The 23,607-nt window shown below is 42.6% G+C and overlaps 1 protein-coding gene across 3 annotated transcripts in view; it reads right to left on the minus strand.

The window, feature by feature from the left end:
- The window catches only part of DCAF8 (DDB1 and CUL4 associated factor 8), a 46,830-nt gene continuing 23,339 nt past the window's right edge, over nucleotides 117-23,607 (minus strand). For all 3 annotated transcript variants that reach the window (NR_028104.2, NR_028103.2, NM_015726.4), the window contains 10 exons: nucleotides 23,004-23,144; nucleotides 21,532-21,626; nucleotides 15,694-15,804; nucleotides 9,988-10,060; nucleotides 9,459-9,516; nucleotides 8,839-8,946; nucleotides 7,048-7,178; nucleotides 3,246-3,365; nucleotides 2,721-2,837; nucleotides 117-2,105 (listed from right to left, as the gene is read on the minus strand). Coding sequence is in view for 1 of the 3 variants with exons in the window: in NM_015726.4 (NP_056541.2) it covers nucleotides 1,989-2,105; nucleotides 2,721-2,837; nucleotides 3,246-3,365; nucleotides 7,048-7,178; nucleotides 8,839-8,946; nucleotides 9,459-9,516; nucleotides 9,988-10,060; nucleotides 15,694-15,804; nucleotides 21,532-21,626; nucleotides 23,004-23,144 (1,071 nt within the window). In the remaining 2 variants the exon portion in view is untranslated. The remainder of the gene's footprint in view (nucleotides 2,106-2,720; nucleotides 2,838-3,245; nucleotides 3,366-7,047; nucleotides 7,179-8,838; nucleotides 8,947-9,458; nucleotides 9,517-9,987; nucleotides 10,061-15,693; nucleotides 15,805-21,531; nucleotides 21,627-23,003; nucleotides 23,145-23,607) is intronic.

Here is a 23,607-nt window from a genome sequence, read left to right on the forward strand (position 1 = left end):
GACTTTCTAACACTGTATCATGTGCAGAATGAGAGGGGAAGGCTAGGTACCTACATTAGTAGGAACAAAAACCATCCATTGTGAATAAATGGACCACATACCACACAGAGCAGCAGTCGGGAGAAGAAAAGCTTTACTGGGAGAAAATACAACAAATTCCAGAGTGCATGGTTTTTAGCCCACCCTATCACCCCACCAGCAATAGGAACACAGACCACTCGATCACCACACATTCCCTACCTCAGGGAGTAAGTACAGCAGCCAACATCTGGTCTCAGAGCTGCTGGGAAAAGGGGCAGGAGGAAGAAGTATCTGGGAATACCATTCTCTCACTCTTTTCCCCTCCTTCCTGGCCTGATTTAGAAGAATCTGACTGTCCCAGGATACAGAATTCTTGGTTGGATCTTGTGGAACTGGGGGCAAAAAAATAGCAGCAAAAGCACTTAAGGGCAAGAATTCAGCTGGGACTTTCAGACTCAGTGACCAGTGATAAGACAAGTGCCCAAGCTCCAGCCACTGTAATCAGTCCTTAGATTAATGACTTATTCCTCAATCCTAAAATATCAAGAGGTGGACAAGGTTTAAGTCAAACCCAGGAAGTCTTTCCCTTCACTCTTCTATAAAGAAGGGAACTGGCATGAAGTTGGATGGCTTAATGATCAAGCAGCTAAAGGTAAGAGAGACAGAGTGAGAGAGTGTGTATGTATGTGTGTGGTGTGTGTGTACATGTCTTCTGTCACAAAGTACCACAATAGTCTGCAGTGGTGGCACCACCCTAAAGTAGTTAAGTTTTAAAGACAGGCCAGCCTCTGGTTAGAAGAGCCATCCTTGGAACCCCCTACAAGACTTAAGGAGAGGTAGGAGATCTGAGGCAGAGCTGAGAGGAATTTCCTGTTTTTCCCAACCCCTACACCAAAGCAGGGAACCAGGAAGGGCAGAAATGAGGATCCTTCCATTCTCAAGCCTCCTAAAACCTAAAGGGTAAGTCCCAATCTCTAGTGACCATACACAGAGGTAAACTGACCCCAGGTGTCACTTCCACACCATTACTCTTGTTCACTCTTAAGTCCCTTTATTGCATTCAGAGAATATATAGGTATTTAAACTTTGACAATAATTTTACCTTGATACATCCAAGTTTGACTTGCTTTTTAATATATTTATAGATATAAAATTAGGCCTCTAACAGTGATAGGGACAGGGAGATTGCTGCCACCAAACAATGTTTCTTAAAAAAATAACAGAAGAGGTAATATCCTTCCTATTCTTCCTTCACTTCTGCCCCTCCTCCCACCTCTTCCCAGCCTCCCTCACCTGACCTATTTAGGGGGTGATGGGATGAAGAGAAGAGAGTGAAGGATATGTAATCAAGTGCAAAATACTGTGGTAAGTACAGAGAATGAATAAGGTGGAAAGGAAAGTGAAGAGTGTGGGATGGTTAGGGGCTTTAAGGACTTCCCAGGAAAATAGGATTCTGGGATGGGGTTGCTGGGGGTGGGGGGGGAGCCAACTGTCATAAACTTTTAAAAAACAAAGGAAGAAAAGGTCAAAAACCTAAACCAAAGAGAGAGTGGCACTCCTACCCTCCACTCTGGCCCCTTGGTACTGAATAGCCAGTTGTTCCCCCCACCCCTCCCCCAGCCCAAGAAACAAGGGAGATTAAAGAAAAAGAAACCCCATTCCCTATCCCAAACCAGTTAACAAAATAGGCTTCCCTCTCCTCTCAAAAAGAGGCTTTGGGGAGAGGCCATTTCTGCCGAGTCCTATGCACCTCTCCATAGAGCCCCATTCCAGGGCTCAACTCCCATTCCTAGGTACTCTTTGTTGGTTCACTCCTCTGGTTTGTCCTTCTCCTGGGATGTCTTTCTTTTATCTAAAGCAAAAAGTCCAAAGTGCGTTTCTGCTGAATGTAGGGCCTGGGACAGGAAAGGGTTGCCCAGGCAGGATCAGGTTGGCAGCCCCAGCCTGCCCCACCTAGGTATGAGGCCTCAAGATGGCATGCACTGCACCCGGTCAGGGCCCTCCTCCTCGTCCGATGTGTCTGAGGAGCTGGGAGACTCATCAGAGTCCGCGTCTGTGGCCCCAACCCCAGGTTCTCGCCAGCGCTGTGGATGGGAAAGGCTTGTTAGTAACTTCCCTGGATGGAACAAGGACAAGCCTGTTAGGTCTTAGCCAGAATTTAGATGCTTTAGGCCAGAGATCAGCAGAATTTTTCTTAAAGGGCCAGAGAGTAAATACTTTAGACTTGTGGTCTATATGGTCTTTATTGCAACTATTCAACTCATTGTAGCGTGAAGGCCGCCACAGACAATACACAGAATGGGTATGGCTGCAAGCCAATGAAACTTTATTTACAAAAACCAGCAGCAGGCCAACTGCCAGTTTGCCAACCCCTGAACTAGGCCTCTTTTGGCATAAGAGGAAAAATAGAAGGGTCACACTGAGACTTGTTATTTCTTCTCAATTCCCTCCTCCACCCTCCAGCTTTTGCCTTTATGAAGATAGCATTACACATGGACGGCAATGGACAAAAGTAGATACCACCCTTTTCTGCTGATGTCTCTTCCAAGGCTATATCAGGGATCTGATGGGGACAGAGGACAGTGGATAGGAAATCCGACCAAGATCACCTGATTACTGCTTGAAGTCACTACTCTGGAACTTTTTAGCCCTCTTAAAAGGGTCACTCCCTTGGGAATTCATTTCCAACCCTAGCTTACCCGGTGATGGCGTCTCTGTCTCAGGTGATGCATAAGGAACCACAGCATGTGACTATCAAACAGGTCAGTTTGGTGCAAGCTATCTTCATCCCGCTCCCGCTTGTTCTTCTTAATCACCTGGAACCCAAAAAGGTTGGGAAGAGGGGGCAGCAATGAAGAGGAACCCGGGACCTGATCAAGAAGGCTGATCTCCTATCCCAATAAAAGCTTCCCTTAAGTTGAAGTGGAGCTACATTAGATTAGGAAATGATGCCCTAGGTTCAGCTGCTGAAAAGGTAGCAGGCTTTAATACAGAATAATTCTTAAAGATGCTCCTTATCCCCATCCTATTACAAATTAGTGCCACTTCACAGCTGCCCCCTGGAGCAGGACTATTCCTACAGAGGAAATTACAGGAATGTGGGGGAGGGTGTTAGAGCAGTGCCTTTAAAGAACTGGGCAGCAAGTTATTCCTCCCTATGACAATAAGAATCAACAGTATGTGGATAAGCAGAAAGAAAATAACTTCTGCAGTCAGCCACTTACATCTTTTAACCCTGTCAGCTCAGTGGAAGCTTCAGCTGTGGGTGCCCAGATCTTCACATCATGGTCTAGGCCACTGGTTGCCAGCACAGGCAGGTGAGGGTGGGGCTCAAGACAGTTTACCTGGTCAGGAAGAAAGGAAAACACAGACTCAGCAGTGTGTGGGAGTAGGGTTTAAAAACCACTACTCACCTTGAGCCAAATAACTGCCCTTGATCAGGGCTGAGGCAGCTGCTGGGGAAGGGAGGCCCACCCATCCTGAGCCTAAGCCAAAGGGCACTGAGGGTAGAGAAACCAGACACAGACTGGGTATAAGACCAGGCACATCAATCATTTCCTATGTATAGGTCGGGGGTGGCTTCATCCCCAGATATGGCCCTAGGGGTGGGTGAGTGGACTGCCCAAGCTTACTGCTGGCTTCGTAAGAAGACAATGAAATCCAGATGACCTCATTCACTCCAGATTCCAAAGCTCCAACTTGCCCAAGGCTGGAAAAAACCATCTCAGTGGCTTTCACCAAGTGGCAAATAAATTTTAAAAAATGAAGAAAGCAGCAGCTGCCAATGAACCCCCAGAGAAGAGTCGGAGAACTATATTCATTTGGCAGTGTTTACTAGAACTGGAGGAAGGCACAGGCTGAGAAGAGGAGGCTGAGTTGCAGGGAGTGGTGGGAGTGATGGAGGCTCATGTCTGCTTGAGAGAACCTTGCACATCCCAGGGGGAACATCCTACTACTTGCCCTGAGCACAACAGGCTCAGCTATAAGGCAGCACATTAAAACCAAGCAGCTTCTTGGGGCTCCCAAAGCCTCAATCTCAGCCACCCTCTGGGTAAATTCACTGAACAAGGCAAAAGAAATAAACTCCAGCAGGCAGGCCTTCTAGCTTAGGCAGCTTCCTTCTGTCCGAAAGGCACCCAATGCCCCCTGCTGTCTGACTTGGAAACATGAGCTTCCCTAAGGGAAGGGCAGGGAAGTTCCTACCCCATCCAGAAGAGTTAGTTCCAGATCTAGCTGCTAAAGCATTTTGAGTCTTTTAGTGAAAAGAGGAACACATAGGAAAGGCACCCTGCCTTGCAGCTGGACCTATAGTCCAAGAAAACAACTTCTTTTAGTTCTCTCTGGACCAACCACCTCCGCTGCCTCACCTGCACAGGCAGAGAACAGCTGAGGAGAAGTCAAGGGCAGGCATGGAAAATAGAGCTGACCTACAGACTTCCCACTTACTTTGACTTCCATCTTACAAATAAACAAATGCTCAGAAAAGACTGAAGCTAAGACTGAGCTTATGAATAAAACAGAAACCCCGTTCTTTATCTCCTCCTCCCATTCCACATATCAGCCTATTGTGAAGTTTATCTTTGGGCTCTTTTAGGCAGTGCAGTTAAAGTCCAATGCCTGGAATAGTATCTATCTATAGTAATGGACAACTTACATATACAAACCTGCACTTTTTCATCTATCTCCTAATAAGCCCTTGTTACAGACCTGTACTCTGAGCTAGCTCTGCTTGAATAAGTCAGGAAAATAAAAAAACACAGGGGAACAATTCCTTGGAACTTAAGACTAAGGAAAAAGCCAGTGGCAAGAGGAACAAGAGAATAACATACAGTACCTGAATTGGAGCCTGCGGGGGGAGCCGACAGAGAACTTCTGGGCCAGAGTACCTGGTCACTTCACCAGACCTGTCTGAATGCCAGGACTTATCCTGTCAATAATGCCTGAGCAGAGAAAAGAGCTCTGGCCTTAGATGACTGGGCTGGGGGAATGTAGAGAATGGGATCAAGCATCAAAGTGCTCTTGGGAGACTAAGGGGCTGTCCTCTGATACCACCCCCAACCCTTGTCCCTGTGAAGCTGAATGGGAACAAAGAAAAGATCCTCAAATCAGTCAGGAGATCTGGGCAAGGCAGAAAATAACTTCTAAGATCTTTGGTTCTAACATTCTACGTTACAATTACATTCTACTCTACATTTACAATTTGCATGATATAGAACTGCTGAGTCTACTACATTGAAAGTAGTGCCTGGTAACCCCCACTGCTGGAAAATTAGGACCAAAAAACAGAGCAGAGGGAGCCAAGTAAAAGACCACATCGATCATTCAGCTTACACAGAGACAAGAATATGTAAGGAAATTTGCTTCAGGGGTAGCCTCTATATCTCTTATTCTACTCATTTACTCTTAGGACCACTAAAACTTAGGCCTGGGGCCCACCCATCCCAAGTAGATGCCTTCCTCACCTGGGCAAATGGGTTAATCATCAAACCCTGGCATTGGCTGAGCTAAAAGCAAACTGGCCTGCAGAATGCTTTTGGAGAATGGACAAATGCTGGCCTGGGAGAGGGCATTCAGCCCTGCATCTCTCTGGAACAGAATGCAAGGCAATAGCTTATGTCAAGAAAAAATTCACTGGCCCCTTCTGACTTCCTTTCTCTAAATGCCTATTGCATAATTCCCATTAAGACTCAAGTGTTTTGGGTTTGTTCACTGCAGATGACACAGGGGGACCTATGGAAGAGTTGGAAATGAAGCAGGGAAGAGTGAGACACACCTTGAACTTCTAGACTCCTCTCCATTTGTATTCAAACCATAAAAACCCTAGATCTATGCAGGTCCCAGGTCCCTGAAATTTAGAGGAAACCAGAAGAAAATTTGAAATACCCTTTCACCAGGGCAAGAAAAACATAAGGAATGGGATCCTGATTGCAAAGAACCATTCTAAATTCTAAAACCACTCTCTGAAAAAACCTCATCAAGAGATGGCTAGGCTCTTTGAAGTTCCCCACAGCTAAGAAGGAATAAAAAGGAAGAGAGACTTAGCTGTCTCAGTCATTCCTTAGAGGCCTTGGATAACCAGACTATTCTGGGCAATCAGTATAATTTAGTCTTCCAAACTGTGTTTTTCCCATCTCCTGTGGTCCAAAAACCTTGTAACAGAAAGCGATTGAACTCCTTCCTAATTCTAGGTCTCAAAAAAAAAAAAAAAAAAAAAAAGATAAGGTTAACCAGATACATCTTAAGAGCTGATTGCTCTTCATTCCCTAACTCGATTCTCACTCTTCCTTTTTGCCCTAACTCCACAGAGGGCTGCAGAACTCAAAGGCCAGGCAGACTATGATACGATCATGGGTTATACAGCAAGCAGACTGCTCAGCTACTAAAAAACAATTGCCACATTTGCGTTCTCCTTATATGTACACATGTATATGTGTTTGTTATCTATTTGAATGTACGCATGACATTTCACCCCTAAATACTTCAACATGTATCTCTTAAGTACAAGAATATTCTAAGTAATCAAATCAATTTAATATTGAATACCATGTTATCTAATGTATAAACCATATTCTAATTTTCCCAACTGTCCAAAAAATGCTCTTTATAGCTTTTATCTGCTAATCTAAGATCCAGCCAAGATCACTACTTAGTTTAGTTTAAAGGGAAGAGACATGGAGAAATCTTTAGCCTTGTGTAGGAGGGTACGCCCTGAACACTAACGCTTTTTCATTTGGAAAAGGTGCACGTCTAGAGATAAGTTACATCACTCAGGACAGGACAGAGGTTCTTCCCTAAGATCCCTTTCTTGTCTCAATAAACTGTGCTTTACAGGGACAGAAGATAGGAACAGGAAGAAAATACTCCATCAAAAACTCAGCACCTCCAGGCTAACTAGTCTTTTATGGCTGGCTGGACCTCTAAAACATGGTATCATGTAGTCACAGTGAGAATTCAGTGTCCCTGCTAAAACCTACCTTAATGACTGGAGAGATTAGGGAGCCAGCCAGCTCAGCACACCATACTCACCACGCCTCCCTTGTCCCCCTCCATGAACTGAATAATCTGGCAGGATGATTTCTCCCAGAGGAAGATGTGCCCACAGTCACTACCGCTCACCACAAACTCACTCTTGGGGCCATAGAAATTGACGCCTTTTACTGAAATGATAAATGAGGGAAGAAACCACATGAGGGTTGGCATCAGGCCTATATACATTCATCTCAAAGGGAATTTAGTTATTCACAAACTCTAAATCAGCTAGATTATGCATGTTTAACAGATAGTTATAGGAATCACACCAGTCCCAAGAGATGATTTATATTCTCCCAAAGAGCTCGCTCCTTAGGGCAGAGGAATCTGCAGTCCTTTAGCAGCAGCCTTAGTCTCTCAAGTTTATACCCTATCAAGTAACCACAGGCCTCTCTAATCTCTTACCTGTCCCACCCTGAATCATCCCAGCTCTGCCTACTCTTAGGCAGCACTGTCTTATGGCCTAGGATTATCTTTGATATGTGGACTTCATTGGTACCTTGTCAATATTTCTGGGTCATCAGCTGATCTGAGACTGATGAAGGTATATGCCACAACTGCCTCGAGAAGCAAGTGATCTGTGCTTGCTACCATTAACAGGGCTCCACTCTCCGGAATCAGTAAAAGAAGCCAAGAGTTCCAATGACTATGGTCAGTACAATATTGGCCATGAGACTGGCACCCTTCCTTTATCTGCCTGTGTACTGAGATCCAAGAACAGATTTTTCCCTCCCTTCTTACCAGCTCAGGAAAAAAAATAAAACTAACCTCTAACTGCTATCTCCAAGACAAAATCATGACAGGTATCTGCTAGGAGTGGTAACAATAGAGAAATGATTCCTCAACTTTCCTGGACATTAGAATCATGTGGGTAGTTTTTAAAAATCTCAGTGCTCAAGTTGCAGTCCATCCCTATTAAATCAGAATATATGGGGTTAAGGCCAAACTGTTATTTTTAAAAGAACACCAGGATTGGGATTGGTGGCTCATGCCCAGCACTTTGGGAAGTCGAGGCAGGCGGATCACTTGAGCCCAGGAGTTAGAGACCAGCTTGGGCAACATGGTGAAACCCCATCTCCACAAAAAATACAAAAATTAGCCAGGTGTAGAGGCATGCACCTGTAGTCCCAGCTACTCACGAGGCTGAAGTGGGAAGATCACCTGAGCCCGGGAGGTTGAGGCTGCAGTGCCTGGGAGGTCAAGGCTGCAGTGAGCCATAATTGCACCATTGCACTCCAGCCTGGACAACAGAGTGAGATCCTGTCTCATAAACACAAAACAAAACACATCAGATGATTTCAATGTGCCCCAAAGTTTGGGAACCACAGACATGGAACAAAACAGGCCAATCTTGGGCTAGTTACTACCACCATTCCTCCTCTTCTGCCTCATCTAAAAGAATTGTTTACTCCTCCTTCCTAGAGGTATAAGGTCACTCCCTATTTTAAGCAATTCAGGACCACTGACTAAAGAGGGCTTTCCCTGACTCCCTAACAAGGCATTTGTGCTTCTTTTGAAGTTGCCTGAAATCTTAAAAACAGTTAGTCTAGCCTCCTTATGTCCAAACCAATTAGAAGCAACATTATTGGAGTGGCAAGAGATGCTCTTGAGCGCTTTCTCCTCTAGCATAGCGGAGAAAACATGAAAACTCCAGCCCAATTCAGGATAATCCCTCAGTGCCCATGGCAACACAGGCAGGTAGTTTCTATTTGTATAACCTGAGTAAGACACTGTGGTTCTCCAAAGCCAACAGGCTTGGGCCAAAGAAACCTAGGAAGACAGTCTCACCTGTGGCATTATTTCTGTGGCCCTTGTATCTCTTAACATACTGGGCCCCATCACTGTGAGAGGAGTTGAAGAGGTAAATGTCTTCATCATTGTAACTGGCCAGGAGCTCTGCCAAGAACAAGAACATAGCAGTGAAGGCAAAGGCTGAAAAAAGCAGGGACCAGGAGGTGGGGGTTGGGGTGGGGCTTCTTGCCAGTAGTGCCCCCTCCAAATACCCAGGTGTAGCACCCATCTTATTTGGAACACCAGGCAAGTCCGACTGTACAGGGTAGACTAAGAACACACTGCCAACCCAGGGGCAGCAGAATGCTCAAAAAGGTCATACCCATTAACTCAGGAATGAGTCAAAGGCATAAGAACCTGCTCAGGCAAGCAACCTGGGCTTCAGGACAGGCCCTGCCAAATATCATCTGCAGCATTCTGCAAATGGTACCTGGCATCTCCAAGGGTCATCTACTGTATCCTCCCGCTATGTGCTCACCATCAGCAGTTACTCCCCAGCTGCTCTACTTGGAGCTATAGCACAGTGGTGAGCACTGGAGGGCACATGCCTCACTGGCTCAGCAGCTCCCTAGACAGAGGGGGCATGCCAGCCTAGGAGCTGGGCCCTGCTCACGTACCTGTGCCGTCGTGGCTGTACACAAGACAGGTGATGTTTGCTTTGGACTCACTGTTCACCTGCAATAAGGAGCAGATACTGACTGATGCCCCACCCCCCCATTTGTTATACCATCTTCAGGAAACAGCTTTTCCTTCAAACTCCCCTATATCTTCTCCCAGAGATTTGAGAAAGACAGACAGAGACAAGAGTACAACTGATGAAACATGACCACCTCAGGGGGTAGCATCTTGGGGCTTTCTTTTGGTTGTCATCCATGTGCTAGCCATTTTATGTACACTGTCTCATTAGGCCTCACCATCAAGGTGCAAGGCAGTTATTTTTATTTCTATTTTGTCGATTAAAAAACTGAGGCTATCAGAAGTGAAGTGACTGCCAAGATCACAAAGCTGGTAAGTGGTAAAGCCAGGATTCAAATCCAGATGACTGACTTGAAAGTCCAAGCTCTTCCCACCATACCAACAAGTTCAGGTGCAGCCTTGGGGTTGAGTCAGGGAAGCCTGCAGCAACTGGCCCTTCATGAATCTTACCAGGTGATGAGGACAGAACTTCTTGAGTACTCCATTGTTCTCATTCTCATCAATTTTCCTCTGGTCATAAATCCTACAGTTGGAAAAGCAATGAAAATGTAAAAATGTACAAACGAAACCCTTGAAGAGCTGCAATTTGATGTAGTGGCAGGAAACTGCCAGCTGGATGCAGATAAACAACATTTTCCAAACCAAGCTTTTGGTTTGTGCTCTTCCTTAAAGGGCATCCCTTTTCCAATCCATTTCCAAACCCTAAATCTTTTGTTTGTTTGAGATGGGGTCCTGCTCTGTCACCCAGGCTGTAGTGCAGTGGCATGACCCCGGCTCACTGCAACCTCCGCCTCATGGGTTCAAGCAATTCTCTTGCCTCAGCCTCCTAAATAGCTGGGACTATGGGCACACACCACCACGCCCGGCCAATTTTTGTATTTTTAGTAGAGACAGAGTTTCATCTGTTGGCCAGGCAAACCCTTAAATCCTTTATCCACATACTTCCCATTTTAAGTGGCAATCCTCAATTCTGTCAGTTTGAAGTGGTTTATCTCTCTCCTCAAGTTTTATATCACATACTGCTACTTTTCACTGAAACAACTAACATTAGTATGGAGCTTTTTACATGTACATTACCTACCGAAAAAGGTTACTCACGGGCAGAAACCATGCTTAATGTAAGTCAATGGGTCTGTAATCCCTCCTTAAAACTGTATTTGGCCTGTTCTCCCTCTCATACCCCACAATAATTATTAAAAACTACCACCCATATCCTCAAGACTCCCTCTCCTTTCCTCATTCTTATCAAGCACACTACACCTTCACCTTCCTTCCTCTCTCTAATCCAAGCTTTAAACTCATGAGGACACACATATTATGTGTCAAATATTATGCTAGGTGCTAGAAATACAGTGAGGAACAAGACAGATCCAGTATCTGTTCTCACCCAGTCTCCTCCAATCTCAGAGCCAATCTCTTGAAAAATGCTTTTCATTTCATCCTTCCAGGGACCTTGTTTGATGATTATCTAATTTCTCAACCTCTTCCTCATCACCAGCTGGCCACTTTCTAAAAATCCTTCTGCTGACTGTCCTTTCCTACTATTGCTTTTTTTCTCCTTCCCCTTACAGTTACACTACTGAAAAGAACAATCAACATTCAATATTTCCACTTTCTTACTTCCTATTCACTTCTCAGTCCATCCTAATCTGGTTTTGGTTCTCAACTCACCACTGAGACTTCTCTGGCTGAAGTCATCAGTTAATTATATCCATTTGTTAAGTAGGTGTAAGTCTAGAGTTCAGAATAAGTGTGGTCTGCAGACACAGATGTAAGTCATATATCCGTGTGAAAGGTGGTAGTTAAAGCATTGGTAATGGAATTAGATCTCCAAGGGAAAATACAGAGAAGATTTTCCCTTCGCCCTTTAGAATCTCTGGCCTGTTTCAGAATATAATGAAAACTCTAGTCCCTTCTCCCCAGAAAAATGCACATAAGCATACTTTCTGGAGGTTCACATAATATTTGTACTTCAAGTTAAAATTCCCTGGTATAGAGTAAGATGAGAGCTGAAGACTGAGCTACTGGAGAACATCAGCATTTAATGGGTGGAGAAAGGAAGACACACCCATGAACAACACTGAGGAGTGGTTGGACATCAAGGAGAGAAGGTGCTTCAGGGAAGGAGTAATAATGTCAAGAGTAGAGAAAAAGACTTGAAAAGTACTTTGTTTGCTTTGGCAGTTAGGTTACTGATGACTTAAGCCTTGACATCCCCAGCTCACACGATCCTCCCGCCTCAACCTGCCGCGTAGCTGGGACTACAGGCACACACCACCATGCTGAGCTAATATTTTTATTTTTTGGTGGAGACAGCATCTGCCCAGCTTGGTCTCAAACTCCTGGCCTCAAAAGATTCTCCTGCCTCAGCCTCCCAAAGTGCTGGGATTACAGGTATAAGCCACTACACCCCAACTAAGTGTTTATTAATAGCTTACTATATTCTACATATGATGCTAGAACGGAGTTTGGCAAACTTTTTCTTAAAGGACAAGACAGTAAATGTTTTAAGCTGGTAAACTGGCAAACCATCTAATCTCTATTAAAACTATTGAATTCTGCCATTGTAGCATGAAAGTGGTCATAAACAACATGTAAAGTAAGGCCATGGCTGTGTTCCAATAAAACTTTATTTATAAAAACAAGCACTACAGTTTGTCAAGCCCTGTGATAGACAGTAAGCATAGAAAGATTAATACAAACTTTCCTACCACTTTCTGAACATATGATAGGCCCTTGATAGTTTATATTTTACTTTTAGTTATTTTTTTTGAGACAGGGTCTCACTCTGTCATCCAGGATGGAGTGCAGTGGTGTAATCACAGCTCACTGTAGCCTCAAACTCCTGGGCTCAAGAGATCCTCCTCTGCCTCCCAAGTAGTTGGGACTACAGGAGCATACCACCACACCTGGAGATATTTAATTAATTAAAAAATTAAAATTTTTTCTTAATTTTTTTTTTTTTTGGTAGAGACACAGTCTTGCTATATTGCCCAAGTTGGCCTTGAACTTCTGACCTCAAGCTATCCTCCAGCTTTGGCCTTCCAAAGTGCTCTAGTTTTATAGTCATGAGCCACCACACCAAGCCCCTTGACATTTTAAGTCACGTAAGGAATAGTGTGCACACCTTTACCACATCTCTTCCCACATGCCTTCAGGCACCCACTAACTTGTTACCCTAAGTCTCTCTTCTATACCTGCCTTTAATCTAATGTTCTCTCAGTGTTGCTGATGTTGGCTTAAGAACTGGGGAATGAAGAGATGATTTACTGACTGTGCTTCATCAATCAGGGCCTATACTTAATCCTTTAGCAATAAATTTTCATGTCAGCCAAATTTACCACTAAAGGATTCACCTGATATATTCTCTTTTTCTTTACCCCTATAAATTCTTAAAACTAAGCTAAGCAGGAATTAGCTTAGCTTAGCAGGTGTAGTAGGGACTCACACCTATACCTCCTCTACTTACCTTTTTTTTTTTTTTGGCCACAGGCCAAAAAGCATGTCTCCCCAGAGCTTCCCTTAAATACTTTTTAATAACCCTAAACTAAAATTCAGTATTAATGATGCAAAAGCCTTGAGGATCAGTAAGCTATTTCTCTATATTCCCTTGAAGTAATTCCTTTAGGCTAGGAGTGAAAGTTAATGATGTTATGATATATAATATTCAGCAAAAATGTTTTCAAATTTATACCAGAAGATGAGCTGTTTGGGTTCTTTCAAAGGAAGAATAAGAAAGGAGAAACCTCAAAACATTCAGTTGGCTGCACAGGAGAGGTGCCAGAGAAGTTGAGTGTAACCTAATGTCAGAGAAGAGCTGGAGTGCTGAAAGGGCTACCTGCTTGTGTAGGATCAGCGTGCCTCAAAATCTTCACATAGCCAGGCGCGGTGGCTCACGACTGTAATCCCAGCACTTTGAGAGGCCGAGGTGGGTGGATCACTTGAAGACAGTTCGAGACCAGCCTGGCCAACATGGCAAAACCGTATCTCTACTAAAAATACAAAAATAGCCAGGCAAAGTGGCACATGCCTGTAATCCCAGCTACTTGGGAGGCTGAGGCATGAGAATCACTTGAACCCAGGAGGCAGAGGTTGCAGTGAGCCGAGATCGAGCCACTACACTCCAGCCTGGGCAACAAAGTGAGACTCTGTCTCAAAAAAAAAACAAAAATCTTCACATAACTTCTGCCCAGTAAATAGCCAATAGAGGAATATTGAGGCTGATAAGACACAGAAGATTTGAGTATTTCTCCTTGTGTTGAAATGCTAAAACTCTAAGCCTTACTCTAACCCTGGGAAAGTATCAGCTTTGGGTTAAGGCAATATGATATACATATCATATGAATACATATGAATACATACATACATATGAATACAGTTCTCAATACAGCAAACTACTACATTCCCCTCCAAACATCTTGGTCCTAGTGGTGGAATTTGTTAGAGACACAGACTTTTCAAGTAATCTGGAGCTCTAAGTAGGAACTCTCAACTCAAAATTTCAGTGAATGCTCAACTTGGAGGAGGTAGCAACTGAAAATCTATACAAACTACAACCCTTTTTGATCAACAGCTTCTTATTTAAAAATAAAAAAAATTGGCCAGGCACAGTGGCTCATGCCTGCAATCCCAGCACTTTGGGAGGCCAAGGCGGGCAGATCACCTGAGGTCAGGAGTTCGAGACTAGCCTGGCTAACACGGTGAGACCTCGGTTCTACTGAAAATACAAAAAATTAGCCAGGCGTGGTGGCGTGCACCTGTAATCCCAGCTACTCGGGAGGCTGAGGCAGGAGAATCGCTTGAACCCGGGAAGCGGAGGTTGCAGTGAGCCAAGATTGTGTCACTGCACTCCAGCATGGGTAATAAGAGTAAAACTCTGTCTAAAAAAAAAAATCTATGGCTACACATTTAAGGACTGTTGGTGACTAGAGGAAACGAATTTTGAAGGCATGGGAATAGGGGAAGAAGAGAGAAACAAGGTTTTGTCCAGGATTCTTGAACAAGGCAAAGTCATCTCATGTATTTTCTAAAAATTTACCCTATTCCCCATGATTCTTATTAATAAAATGAATCTGGAAATATAGCTATAAAATGTGCTCTCATTTCAAAAGGAAGATGATGCTTTTCACTTACCATTAGGAAAGCAAAAAGTCACTCATTTTTCTAGTGATCTTGCCCCTCTCTCTCCTTTCAAACTGATGAGCCCAAAGAAACATAGTTAAAATAGGCCAACTGGATAGGGATGGATACAGCTTATTACTAAGGGTCAGAGGAAATTAACTAATACATATGGAGACTGAATCCACAGTGTCTGTTTTCCTTAGGTCATGTCTCAAGAGCCAGTGTTAACAAAAGGTGTTCACGGTAACAAAGATATCACTATGGATAAAAAAAAGTGGTAGCTCAGGACAGTGAGAGCCAAAAAACCCTCAGTTCACACTAAGTGCTCCCAAGTCAAACTATTTCTGAATTGAAAACCAGTATTTAAAATTTCTAGTGCACGTTTATTTACATACGAAAAAGGTAGATTATTTACTAATATAGTACTTGCTGGTAAACCTAAATTTATGGCTTAGCTGCCACGTGAGGACCTTGGTCAATTCATCTAACTTCTTTTCTTTTCTTTTTTGAGACAGAGTCTCGCTCTGTCATTCAGGCTGGAGTGCAGTGGCACAATCTTGGCTCATTGCAACCTCTGACTCCTGAGCTCAAGTGATCCTCCTGCCTCAGCCTCTTGAGCAGCTGGGACTACACGCATGTACCACCATGCCTGGCTAATTTTTGTATTTTTTTTTTTAGAGACAGAGTTTTGCCATGTTGGCCAGGCTGGTCCCAAACTCCTGTCCTTAGGTGATCCACCCGCCTCACCTCCCAAAGTGTCGAGATTACAGGTGTGAGCCACTACACCTGACCATCATCTAACTTCTTTAAAACTTGATAATCTCTAAAATATGTAAAGTCACCCCTCAGAGACTGTTACATTAGAGAACAGAACATCTCCAAAGGCGTGTAAGATTTTTGGAAAACGGTAAAAAATTCAAGATAATAGTTAATGGATTCCTATAAAATTCGTAACTCTCCATAAAGGAGCACCTGGTAGTATACAATGCATCAGTCTTACAAACTGTCAAAGACACAAAAGAGCCACAAACTCACCTTACAAACTGATCTCGTCCACCCACTGCAAACTGGTGGGTATTGGCAGGATTCACATAGATCGTATACAGCCCCACTTTCTTCTCTTTCTCTTTTGTCACCACCAGTTTCCTTTAAGAGTAGAAAAGCACAGAAAGTTATATACTCCAAAAGATCCAAATGGTCATGGCAAAGGAGAGCCAAGAGAGTCACATGGCTAATAAGAAACCAAAGAGATTCTCATTTGGAAAGAAAGAATTGTTGTGTTTTCTCTGTTTGTTTTGTACGTAACAACAGGAAAAAAGCACATACATTTATTATATGGGACTTTGGGGATTGGGGAAAAAAATATGTAGTGAAGTCACTTTCTAGTGTTCCTTAAGAAGTATAAACTAAAGGTATATGAATGTACCATTCTTTAGGAAGCCTCAGTTTAGCTGCAGTCCAACACAGTAACAGCCAGTTATTAATCAGACAATACTACAGATACCTTCCTACCCTTTATTTATAAATATATCTTCCCTATCACCTGGGAACAAGGAGAGACGTGGAAGAAGAATCCCAGAAACAGTAGGCTAAAAAAGACCTTAAGGTCAGAGACTATTGCTCAGATTCCATTAAAATGTAACTTATGGCCAGGTATGGTGGCTCATGCCTGTAATCCCTACACTTTGGGAGACTGAGGCGGGTGGGTCACTTGAGGCCAGGAATTTGAGACCAGCCTGGCCAACATGGCGAGACCCCATCTCTACTGAAAATACAAAAATTAGCCAGGCGTGGTGGCGCATGCCTATCATCCCAGCTACTCAGGACAATCCCAGCTACTAAGGAGGCTGAGGGAAGAGAATCACTTGAGCCTGGTAGGTAGAGGCTGCAGTGAGCAGAGATCATGCCACGGTACTCCAGCCTGCGCAACAGAGCAAGACTGTCTCAAAAAAAAAAAAGTCACTTAAAACCCAACTTAAGCCAGGCACTGGCTCATGCCTATAATCCCAGCACTTTGGGAGGAACACTTGAGGCTAGGAGCTCAAGATCACCCTGGGCAACATAGCAAGACCCCATCTCTATAAAAAATTATTATAAAAAGCCGGGTGCGGTGGCTCACGCCTGTAATCCCAGCACTTTGGGAAGCCGAGGTGGGTGGATCATGAGGTCAGGAGTTCAAGATCAGCCTGGACAACACGGTGAAACCCCGTCTCTACCAAAAATAAAAAAATTAGCCGGGCGTGCTGGTATGCACCTGTAATCCCAGCTACTTGGGAGGCTGAGGCAGAAGAACTGCTTGAATCCAGAAGGCAGAGGTTCCAGTGGACCAAGATCGTGCCACTGCACTCCAGCCTGGGTGGCAGAGGGAGACTCTGTCTCAAAAAAAAAAAAAAAATTGTTATAAAAAATTAGCCAGTGTGGTGGCATGCACCTATAGTCCCAGCTGCTCAGGAGGCTGAGGTGTGAGGATTCCTTGAGTCCAGAAAGTTGAGGCTGCAGTGAGCCGTGGTCTTGCCACTGTACTTCTGCTTAGGTGACAGAGTGAGACCCTGTCTCAAAAAGTAAAAAAATAAAAAACCCAGCTTAAAATATGCACACTGAAAACTGATAAATTTTTCACTGAAGAAATCCAGAATAATCTGTCTAAAACAGCCATAATTTGTTCCAGGTTAAGGGTGGCATGAGGAATATTCTTCTCAGATCTAAGCATTCAATTAGTCAAATATGACATAATGAAGATTGGTAAATTTACAGCAAAGGAAAGACTTCAAGAAACTATAGGAAGAGGCTTGGCTTTAGTTTTTGTTTTTAAGTCTAAGGTTTTATTTATTTCTGATGCTATGGAAACAGAAAGAAATATAACCATGACAACAAGTTTCTTTGTAAAGAAATGATTTTAGCATCCTTTCTGCATAGCCAAAGTCACTTCAGCCTAGAACTGTTCTAGGCAAAGTGTTGAGATTTTACTTAGTATCTCTGCAGCTTTTCATTAAATGAATACAGAGGACCAGGTGTAGTGGCTCATGCCTATAATCCCAGCACTTTGGGAGACTGAGGTGGGAGGATCGTTTGAATCCAGGAGTTCAAGACCAGCCTAGGCAACATAGTGAGCTCCCATCTCTATTTATTTTAAAATTAAAAACAAACAAAAAAAATACAGAGGGCACTGAAAATGAATGTCATTAGGGGAAACCTCCATCCCCTAATGGTGTCCCCCACACATCTCAAAAACACAAGGCAGGAAACATGTCAAAAGAATAACAGCTTCAGGGACAAAACTAGCTAAGAGACTGCTCTAATATGAGTTTTAGACAGGGAAAGAGAGGAGGAGCTGATGCTGCTCCTTCCCACAGGACCATCTCATTTCCTTAGCAATTTGAAATTTCAGAAGGACAAGGTCAAACAAATACAAAAGTTACCATGTGGAAGCAAAATGAAGAAACTAAGGAATAGATTATGAAGTACTGGCTCCACAGTTATGTAATCCTGCTGAAGAGCTCAATCTTACTATGCCTCAACTTAATCCCATAAAACAAACATTTCTCCCTCCTGATGGGTAAATGCAGAGTACCTTGAACTCTGCAGGGGGCATGCAGAGGTGCTATAAAAATGATTATCATGGCAATAGGAGGAAAAAATGTTCACATTAGAGGAAACATTAAACAAATTCACCAAATTTTGCCTTAAAATTAATGAGCAAGTATGTCCCAGCAAAAAGGGAAAAATAATTACAGATGAGACCAAAGGATTTCTTTGAAGAATACCTCAAACTGGCTTCCACTGGCTAAAGGAATATTCCATCCACAGGTTCAAATCAAACTTTTTTCCTAAGATGTTAGTCAATTTCATTAGCTTTCAGAGACTTGGCTATCATCATATATACAAAAGAAAATCCCCCTTATGCCAACTTCACACAAAAATGCCTCTGACAAGATCATGCCACTGTACTCCAGCCTGAGCAAAAGAGTGAGACTGCACCTCAAAAAAAAAAAAAAATGCCTCTGACATAAGCAGATGTTCAGCTTTTCACCCCATGCCAGCCTGTAACACTACTTTAACCCTTACAACAAAAACTTTAAAGACTCACTGTCTTTATTACTCAAATCTAGATTTGGGCCTCCTTCTACTCTTCATTTTCTCCTTTACCCCTCTTTAGAGTCTATCCCACCTATCATTGCTTATGTTCAGATTCATGGTTAACTCTCAGCCAGACTTTCTGCCTATATAATTTCATTCTAAATTCAATAATCTGCCAAAGTCATTCGCTCTATTCATTACTTGCACCAGATTCAATTCCTGGTGGCCTAACAGTAGTTTCCCTCTGAACCTGATCCACAGGATAAGATCTCACTCTGTTTCACAACTCTTTAACACAGCATATTAAATAAACTTACTATCATTTTTTCCTTTTTTGCTCTTCCCTATGAAAAACTTGCTAATCTTCCATTACCATTACAGAACCCTGGAACTTTAGAACTGGAAATAACAAACATCATGTAGTTCAAAAGATTAAATGATTTCCTCAAAGTCAGATAACTACAAAGCTAGTACTAGAAGGCAGAACCCTTGTCATTTAGGCTTGTTCCATTTCCACTATAAATCTCCCAGTCTTTGTCCTCTTGAAGGTTATATAAACAAGCAACATATCTTTTCCCCAAGCCTAAAACATTTCTATCTTTTAAGCAGTTGTAGAAATTCTTCTACTATCCAAACAGCTTTTTCTGGACTTAGCTCTCCAAAAATAAGTCTAGTAATAATCAGCCTTCATGTTATATTCCCCAATATAAATTAATTTATATTTTACTTATGTCCTATGTAAATCATTGCCATCCCTTACTCAATACTGGTACTGACCTATAAGATCTGTTATAATAATTTTGGTTTTTTTTTTTGAGACAGTCTTGCTGTGTCACCCAGGCTGGAGTACAGTGGCATGATCTCAGCTCACTGCAACCTCCACCTCCTGGGCTCAAGCGATTCTCCTGTCTCAGCCTCCTGAGTAGCTGGGATTATAGGCATGTGCCACCACACACGGCTAATTTTTGTATTTTCAGTAGAGACGAGGTTTCACCATGTTAGCCAGGCTGGTCTCGAACTCCTGACCTCAAGTGATCCACAAAGTGCTGGGGTTACAGGCATGAGCCACTGCACCTGACCAAGATTTGTTATAATAATCTTTAAGACAAACAAGACAATAAACGATCTAGATATCTATCAATAAGGTAAAGGTTAAATAAACTGTGGTACACCAATGCTATGACATTTCTCTCATGGTTAACAACAAGGTAGCTTTTATGGTCCAACACAGAAAAATCTCCCACATTGTAACATGAAATAAGCAAACTGCAGAAACATACATATATGTTTATATATACATACAAGTATACTTATGGGGAGAAAGGAGAAAGTGTATATATGTATTTAGGTACAAAATGTATACAAAAGGGACTAAAAAGGTGTTCAAAATTACTTACAATGATTTTTTTTTTTTTTCTGAGATGGAGTTTTGCTCCGTCACTCAGGATGGAGTGCAGTGGCATGATCTCAGCTCACTGCAACCTCCACCTCCCAGGTTCAAGCGATTCTCCTGCCTCAGCCTCCTGAGTAGCTAGGGTTACAGGCACATGCCAACATGTCCAGCTAATTTTTGTATTTTTAGTAGAGGTGAGGTTTTGCCATGTTGGCTAGGCTGGTCTCAAACTCCTGACCTCAAGTGATCCACCTGCCTTGGCCTCCCAAAGTGCTGGGATTACAGGCGTGAGCCACCGTGCCCTGCCCACAATGGTTTTCAACAGCTAAAAAAATGGTGGGGCGGGGGTGACTGAGGGAGCATTTACATTTTGTCTGTATACTTTATTACTTGAATCTCTTAAACAAGAAGTATTTGTTTATTGTAAGAGCAATAAAAATGAAAAAAGAAACTAAAATAATTATAATTATAAGCTAAAACTTAATCAATTTCAGCCATGGTGTTAAACATTATGCTGAGGCATCACACACAAACACACACACACATACATACACGTACGTATATATATACATACATATATACGTGTGTGTATATAAATACATATGTGTGTATATGTGTGTACATATGTGTGTATATAAACATATATGTGTGTGTATATATGTGTACATGTGTATATGTGTGTGTATATATGTGTGTGTGTATGTGTGTGTGTGTGTATATATATATATATCCTCACAGAAACTACTAGAGAGGGAAGGACGGAGGGAGGGAAAAAAATATGCCCATAGCAAGGCTGAAGAAAATGAGGTTCAGAAGGTTATGTAAGTCATAACTAGTAGTGCCTGATTTGAGATTTGACCTAGGTCTGCCTGGATCCAAACAAGATGTTGTGTTTTTTCTATGATACCACACAGTTAAAAAGGAATAAAATTTACCTATGAGTCTCAGATTCACATACAAATGAACTGTGATAAAACAGAACTCAACTACAGCTACCAGTATTTTTGTTCAAATTTTATGTTTGTATGTTTCTATAAATAACTAAATTAAAAATGTATTTAAATTTAAAATTTACAGGACTGTACCTCTACATGAGTCTGTGGAAGAATGTGCTTTCTGTGGGTAAGATGAATGATATCCAAGTGAATAAAGAGCAAAAGATCATCAAATTATTAAAGGCCACATATAACAAGTAAACTGTTTGAGAAATGAAGGTAGACTGAATAGTATTTCACTACTGAGAAAGAGAGGAAGTAAGGAATTCCCCTTAACCTTAAACTACCTCTTAACCATAGGCACAAAGGTACTATTCGGATGAACCAGAGTTAGGCATTACCAAGACATATGGAATATGTTCAAGGCTAAGAGATACAGTTCTGTAATGATATTACTGCTACACTTACGACGCTGGGCGGTCTTGTCTCAGGTCAATGGTGAAAACAACTGCATCTTCACCTGCAGATAAGAACGTACAGGGAGAGTCTGGTTCCAGTGCCAACTGAAGAAGAAAAAGGAAAAACATGAGGTTTCTAAATATTAGAATTAGAGGTCATCTAGTTCATTCCTATAACTTTGGGAAGGGCTGCACTTAAAATGTTCCAAAAAGAGAAATGTCTACCTTTTTGTCATAAAATCCCAGGAAAGGACATAATCTAAGCCCACTTACTCTTGTTCTATGCGAATTATTTATAGTTTTGTTTATTCTATAACTAGTCAAAGGACAGTTGATTTGCTATTTCAACTAAGTCCTCAAGAGATATGAACAGATAGCAAAGAAAAACATCAGCCATTAGAGTTCATTTTCTTTTTTTTCCAGTCAGGGTCTCACTTTACCACCCAGGCTGAAGTGCAGTGGCATGATCATGGCTCACTAAAGCCTCAACCTTGTGGGCTTAAGTGATCCTCCCACCTCAGCTGCCCAAGTAGCTGGGACTAGAGGCACAAGGCACTATACCTGGCTAATTTTTTCGCTTTTTTTTTGTTTGTTTTCCACAGATGGGGTCTTGCTATATTGCCCAGGCTGGTCTTTAACTGCTGGCCTCAAGCAGTCCTCCCACCTCAGCCTCCCAAAGTATTGGGATTACAGGCATAAGCCACCACACCCAGCAACAGTTCATTCTCGAATAAAATCAATTCCATACCCTTAAGTGCAGAGAGAAATGGTGTCCAACTTCATTCCTTACATCTTAGTTCCTTACAACTGAAAATCAGTTAACTAGTGGGTTAGGAGTAGACTTAAGAATCAAAGAAATAGGTAATTTTCACATATCCTGGGCCGCCTTGGCTAGAAAAGGATACTCCAGGTCCACCTATATTTTTGCTTAGGGTTTCTAAGAGAGTACCAACCTCTTTTCATGGCACAAAAGACCAACACCATGCCTACCTTAAAACTGGCAGCTCTTAACTCCTTGTTAGCTGCCACCATGGATTATTTGGCCTATATTCCCAGCTTTAAATAGGGCTTCCAGAAACAGTGCTATTTGTGAACTGAGAGTTTGAGCAGGTAAGCTGAAGCTCTCACACAAGAGGAATAAACCACTAGCACCTTGAAACTGTCAAAATACCCTAAAAAATCACAATAAATGTAAAAGGTTTAGAGGGCACAGGAGACCTCAAAGATCTCCAAACCAACTAGGGCTTAGCTTAGGGGCCAAATACTATGAATGCATGATCTAGGGACTTTTCAGATACTTGCCTTCCTAGGAGTTTAGGGTGGCTGCTTTTGCTCCTTTCTTAACCACAAATCTTAGGACTGAAAGAGGTGAGGCACATGACCACAACAAATGTGACACAATGGGCAGAGATAAGGGAGAACCTTGGCTGAGAACCACAGAGGATTTGGATTGCACAAATTTTGGAGCAAGGTCTTACTTACCTTGTGGGACGCTCCCTTGTGCTGGGCCACACGTTTTGTATTCTTGCAACACTGTGTGGCAGACAGTTCTGCTACTCGAACCTGCCCGTCACGGGCACACATGGCCAGAGTAGAATCACCACTGTTAGGAAGAAACTTGGCCTGGGGTGTTAAAAATGAAAAAAAGGACACACAAAAGAAATGAGAGAGGTAAACTTGAGAATAAAAAATACGATGATGACCTCAACTTACCCCCTTTTCTTACATGACAGCTGGAAACTTAGCTTTCCTACTCTTGTACAGCTGGCTAAGCCCAATTTCTTCCAGGAGTTAAAGGAAAGGGAGAGAAAAAACTTCCTTTGATGTAAGAGAGCATTTCAGTTGGCTCTGGAAGATTGAACTGGCACATGATAAGAGCTCAGATGAACTAGGACTGTATCTAGCAGAGGAGAAAAGGAATAGAGGAGGAAAAATCTACTTTGATTAAGAAAGTAAATATAAATTTGCTACAAAGAAAAAGGAAAATAGGGGGAATGTCAGGGAAGAAAAGAGAACACCCTTAGGATAAATGGCTGGTACCAGTACAGTAGATGGGGCCAAGGAGTAAAATCTTTCCAGAATAACA

This window comes from Homo sapiens, chromosome 1 (genome assembly GCF_000001405.40).
Source record: "Homo sapiens chromosome 1, GRCh38.p14 Primary Assembly".
Taxonomy (NCBI): domain Eukaryota; kingdom Metazoa; phylum Chordata; class Mammalia; order Primates; family Hominidae; genus Homo; species Homo sapiens.